This window comes from Homo sapiens, chromosome 7 (genome assembly GCF_000001405.40).
Source record: "Homo sapiens chromosome 7, GRCh38.p14 Primary Assembly".
Lineage (NCBI taxonomy): Eukaryota > Metazoa > Chordata > Mammalia > Primates > Hominidae > Homo > Homo sapiens.
The window spans coordinates 107556038-107562383 of record NC_000007.14 but is presented as its reverse complement, the minus strand read 5'-3'; the positions used below and the strand labels follow the sequence as shown (position 1 = coordinate 107562383).

The 6346-nt window shown below is 39.5% G+C and overlaps 1 protein-coding gene across 10 annotated transcripts in view; it reads left to right on the top strand.

The window, feature by feature from the left end:
* Positions 1-6346, top strand: part of COG5 (component of oligomeric golgi complex 5) — a 362549-nt gene that overhangs the window by 1537 nt on the left and 354666 nt on the right. For all 10 annotated transcript variants that reach the window (NM_001379516.1, NM_001379515.1, NM_001379511.1 and 7 more), the window contains exon 2: positions 4269-4408. In NM_001379516.1, coding sequence (NP_001366445.1) covers positions 4269-4408 — 140 coding nt within the window. The remainder of the gene's footprint in view (positions 1-4268; positions 4409-6346) is intronic.

Genomic DNA, 6346 nt, shown 5'->3' with positions numbered 1-6346 from the left:
GACGTTTTAAACTGTAGACAGGACTTCCCCAGGTGAACAGTGGAACATTGGATATATGTTTCAGTAGGATGTATTTCAGGAATTGTAATCAGTTCTTGGACGGTAAATACTCTTCAGTTCTGCCTTCTGTATTTTCCTCCTTGGTTCTCTGCCATTCTCCACAGTGATTGTTTAAATCTTCTTTACCCTTTTCAAACCTTTCGCTTCAAGCTCAACAAATGACTTTAAGCTTCCCTGGGGAGAAAAAGAGGATCCATCAGATGTGAACTTTCTCCATTTCTTGCCCATCAAACCTATGAATTTAACCTCAACGTATAACCATCTGTTGCACCTTTTTTCCCTTGCCTTTTCAATTGCAACGGAAGTGGAGCCTCTGCTCCTTTCTTTCTTTCTTTCTTTTTTTTTTTTGAGACGGAGTCTCGCGCTGTTGCCCAGGCTGGAGTGCAGTGGCGCAGTCTCGGCTCACTGCAAGCTCTGCCTCCGGGGTTCACGCCATTCTCCTGGCTCAGCCTCCTGAGAAGCTGGGACTACAAGCGCCCATCACTATGCCTAGCTAATTTTTTGTATTTTTAGTAGAGACGGGGTTTCACCGTGTTAGCCAGGATGGTCTCGATCTCCTGACCTCGTGATCTGCCTGCCTTGGCCTCCCAGAGTGCTGGGATTACAGGCGTGAGCCACCACGCCCGGCCGAGTCTCTGCTCCGTTCTAAGGATAGTGCCTCCTACTTTGCTCTGGATTTTTTCTTCCTGTTTCCTGGGGACTCAGTCACCCTCAATCTATGCCATTGAAGTAACTTTGCAAGGTTTTCAATGACTTTCTTGCACATACGACAAATGGACACTTTTTTGGTCCTTTAACTTGTAATAACATTTGATTCCTTTCTTGAAATACTTTCCTCATGCGGTTTATGGGTGCCGTGCTTTTTAAAAATTCTTAATTCTCTAGGTGCTCTTTTCCAGGTTCCTGTAGATACTTGTCAGTTCAGTTTGTTCTGAATTAAGCGGTCTCTGTTGCCCCTCCACCCCCAACATTCCTGAGGAATTAAGCATTTCCAGCAGAAACTTTGATTCACTATATCGGGGATTTGGCCAATGACAGAGTATCGGATTGATAGGCTTGGTGAGCACAGATGCATAGTATGAAAATTGGTGAGGTGTTTCTGATATGCCCTCTATGGGAATGAGGAAACTATAAAAGAGAAGCATTATATAATTCATCTCTTTAAAGGCTGTCAGCCCTCAAATGCCACATCCCGTTGTGTTTGATCTTTGTAAGCTCTATGACAATACTAATACTTACTTTCTTTATCCCTTCTTTTGGCTTTTGCCATTCTTTTTTGTTTCTCTTTCTCCCTGAGCACTCTTTAGTCTCTTTGATTGCTTTCATTTTCTCTGTCCACCCCCCACTTTCCTATCTTCCTCATTTTCCTGCCTTTTTGTGCATTCTAAAACTTTTTTTTCCTAAATCATCTGGTCTTGTCTGTGGTTTCAGTATGCTCCTTACCTGTCTTCTGAATTATAAAACTATATTTTTAACTGCCTACTGGACATTTCTATCTTAATTTTTTTATGATATGCCATTCCATAACCTGTATGGACATTTCTATTTTGATAGTAAACAAGCAGTGCTAGTTCTATAATACACATGAAAACCTACATATGAACAAATAGTACAAGGTTTACATATGAAAAAATGAAATGAATTCACTTTTTCTGTTCTTCTCTCCTAATCTTTTCCTCTGGTAGTTTCTGTTATCTGTGTTTACTATGTTGTTAGGTAAATGTGTGCTTGTTCCCCTTGTAAATTATGAATTCCTTGGAGGCAGAAGTTTATGTTCATCTTGGTATATTCAGTGTCTAGTGGTCTAAGTTAGTGTAAAACTAAATTTCCTGTATCAGTTGCTTAATCCAGAAATTTGGGAATCCTTGTTTGTTCTACCTAATCACCCATTTTCAGCTTGTCACTAAGTCCTACATCCTGTGCAGTGTGAATATTTGTCAAATTTGTCACTTTGACATTCTTAGTGCCACTTATTCAGGTCTTAGTCGGGCCTTCATTATGTCTTAGGCTGTTAACATAGTACTTTACTGGCCTCTGTGGTTCTATTTCTTGGGTGTATTGGTTAATTGGCTTTGTGGGAAAATAGAAAAAGCCCTGATTTTTGTAGTGTTTGCTGATTACCATGGTGTAAATACTCTCACCATCGTAGATTTTAAGATATCTGTGTGAAAGGTCAACTGGCTCACAGAATTCCTGAAAATGTAACAGTCTGTGCTCAAGAGCCAATAAGAGGCAACTTCAGCACATTGCTGTGTGACTAATCCTTTTTCCATCATCCTCTATACAGCTGCCAGGATTATTGTTCTGTAACATAAAGCTGATAGTGCAATTTCTTGGGTTAAATGAGATATGGTTAAACATTTCAAATGTCTTACAAACCTCTTTTCAAACTGCGCTCCAACCTTTGGAACCACATCTGTCATTCTTTACCATTTCTGTCCAATATACATGTGCTATGATTTAGACACACTGAAATCAGTATTCCCCTTGTTTCTCAAAATATGCCATGGCATTTGCCACTGCTAAACCTTCCCTTTGCTTGGAATGGCTTTTTTCATTTGTCTGGCTGACAGGACTCTTAATTCTGAGAAGCACTTGGCAAATCAGAAGGAAATGTGGTTCTCAGACTTAAAAGCAGCCAAAGTAGCAGTTTCCTTCTTTCATTCCACTACATTTTAAGAATAATCAAGAGTATGAGCCTTTACTTTTTGTTGTTGGTTGTTACCAGAATGATACTAATGATACATCAGCTGATGTATAGATTAGTTAATTCATGGAACCTGCCATGTGTCTGGTATTGTTCAGACACTGGAGAAGAGTTAGCAAACAAAACAAAGACCTTCTTCCCCTCTTGGAGCATACATTATAGCAGATGTAGACAATTTAGGTTTTCTTAAAAGTACTCTATTTTGTTTGTTTCATAATCTCTCTCAAGGCAGCTTTACTTGTATCTACTGTATCATTAGGAGATTTGGTACATGGTTACCATGAGCTCCCTTCTGGGTATCTATTTTTAGCTTTCAATTCTCTTAATTTTTCTTTCATCCACATATTTGTGGATTTCTATATTGAGGGGTATCTTTTTAACATCTGGTATTACTTCTGTTTTCTGTCTATTAGGGGCCTATTTTAAACAGCTTTTCTTTCCATTAACATATTTCACCCATAAATCCTAAATTTCAGTAACACCTATAAATTTATATTTCCTATTGTTACTAAAATTCCAGATTCACTTTGCTATAACAGTATTTGTGTATTGATCTAGAGATATCTGAGGCCATAAATATTACATATGTGTATATATATATATAGAGTCAATTTTCCTGTTGTCTTTTCACTGACAATGATCTTGTTTTCTTGGATTAATAGTTATAGCTAGTAGTTATGGTTTTTTTTTTTTTTTTTTTTTGAGATGAAGTCTTTTTTTTTTTTTTTTGGGACAGAGTCTTGCTCTGTCGCCCAGGCTGGAGTGCAATGGCGCAATCTCAGCTCACTGCAAGCTCCGCCTCCCGGGTTCACGCCATTCTCCTGCCTCAGCCTCTCGAGTAGCTGGGACTACAGGCGCCCACCACCACGCCCGGCTAATTTTTTTTATATTTTTAGTAGAGACGGGGTTTCACTGTGCTAGCCAGGATGGTCTTGATCTCCTGACCTCGTGATCCACCTGCCTCGGCCTCCCAAAGTGCTGGGATTACAGGTGTGAGCCACCGCGCCCGGCCAGAGATAAAGTCTTGCTCTGTCACCCAGGCTGGATTGCAATGGCACGATCTCGGCTCACTGCAGCCTGTGCCTCCCGGGTTCAAGCTATTCTTCCACTTCAGCCTCCCGAGTAGCTGGGATTACAGGCACCCGCCATGATGCCCAGCTAATTTTTGTATTTTTGTAGAGATGGGGTTTGAGGTTTCACCATGTTGGCCAGGCTGGTCTTGAACACCTGACCTCAGGTGATCCACCCACCTCGGCCTCCCAAAGTGCTGGGATTACAGGCATGAGCCAGTGTGCCTGGCCAGTCGTTATGTTTTTTAATCTCTTTCTCAATGTTATACTTCCTTTAGGGTCATGATAAAAGTAAGCATTAAGCAGTATAGTGGAGTGGTTCAGAGTATGGGATCAAAATATGTTAATTATGATTATAATTGTTCTGTTGTTTAATAACTGGTTTAGTACAGGGTAATTAAGGACTTTTCCTTATTTTTTCCCCAATCCAGGGTGTTATAGTGACTTTTTAAACGAAGACTTTGATGTAAAGACTTATACTTCTCAATCTATTCATCAAGCTGTAATTGCTGAACAACTAGCAAAACTTGCCCAAGGAATCAGTCAGTTGGACAGAGAACTACACTTACAGGTAATTCTGATCTTCTGGGTCCCTATGGATTATTCAGCCTAAAGTGATAATTTAGCATTTTTGTAATCTTATTAAATACAAATGCATATTTACATGAAGAAGTACATACTTACCAGTGTGACTTATTTTTCAAAGTAAATTTTTGAAATTTTCTGTAAACCACTTTTTGTTTGTGGAAAAACTAATATACCACCTCACCAAAGCCTTTCATTCATACTTCCTGTTCACCACCTTAACTGATGTGCAACGAATATAGTGGGCAAAAAATAGGATGTGTTCGATAAAGATAATAGAAAATGGAATTTTGGAAGTAAAACAATATGAATAAGAAAAATTGGGATGTTACATTCGCAATTCATACTTTATTAGCACAAAGTGTAGCATTTGCTGAAATTACAGAAAGTTGATAAATGTTATTGTGAGTAGGATACAATATGAGATGTTAGGCGACGGGTCCTAATTTCAGCTATGCTGTTGTTAACTGACTTTAATATCACTTAAAGTCTTTGAGTCTTGCTTTTTTGTTTTTTAATCTATCAGATGGGTTGGAATAAGCAAGAGGAAGAGGAGACTGTAGTAGATAACTTTGAAGATTCCCTCCTCTACTAAAATTCTGTAAATTTTATAGGGCGATTTTATGGCATAATTTCTAGTGTTGCCTTTGATTGAGTAGGTATTTAATACATATTTAAATGAATGAACATATGCATGAAACATAGATTGTTTACCAGGAAACATAGATTTGGTATAACCTGAGACATATCCACTTGATCATTTTTGTGTCTTAGTTTCTTTGAGTGCCTTAGATAGGACTGGGATGCCTTCTAAGGTTATTTTAACTCTAAAATTCTGATTATGTATCATTTGATTTCAATCTTTATTGACAGATATTTAGAAAACACGTTTAGGCCGGGCGCAGTGGCTTATTCCTGTAACCCCAGCACTTTGGGAGGCTGAGGCGGGCAGGTCATGAGGTCAGGAGTTCCAGACCAGCCTGGCCAACATGGCAAAACCCCATCTCTACTAAAAATACAAAAATTAGCTGGGCATGGTGGTGGGCGCCTGTAATCCCAGCTACTCGGGAGGCTGAGGCAGGAGAATCACTTGAACCTGGGAGTTGGAGCTTGCAGGGAGCCGAGATCGTGCCATTGCACTCAAGCCTGGGCAACAAGAGCAAGACTCCGTCTCAAAAAAAAAAAAAAGAAAGAAAACACGCTTAATTGTCAAGCTTTGGGTTAGACTGTGGGGATAGCCAAATAAATAGAATACATTTCTTGGCTCTCCAAGGACCCACAGACCAGTGGCAGACACAGACAGAAATAATGGTAGGCAAGCGAGGCCTGTTTTAAATAGAACAGTGTAAGTTGTTTATGAGAGCGGGGATAATGTATTTAGTTTTGTCTAGAGTTCTCAGGGGGTGGCTTTTTGCAAGAACCACCTGAAATTCTTTTAGTCCTTTTATGCTTGGTATTTTCCTTATTCCTTGTATGCAGCATCTACTCTGCAGGAATCAATAAGAACTTAAAATGTATTTACCATCACTTAGAGGGGAGAAGTTGTAGTGGCCTAGGATGTGAGGTAGAGGAAGTCTCCGAGTCCCAGTAGTCTATATCAGTGAGATGACTAAAATTGTAAAACATTTACTATTAGGGTTTAGTGCAGGAACTAGAAATCACTCTAAGAAAGACACTTCATACAGAGAGTTTGGATGCTTATAAAATTGTTGGGTGAATAGCTAGTGGACGGAGTTGAAGGAACTACCACAGATGCAATACAGAGGCCTGGAAGTACCTGTTCTTACCTTCCATGCCAGTGCTAAAATTCTGCCTCTAGATATCTGATGACTAAATCCTGGAGTGATCAATGTGGTTCTCTTAACTGTCTCTAAATTCTCAGGTCTCAGGACCTTTATTACTAGCTGAAACAGTAAGCTTTCCT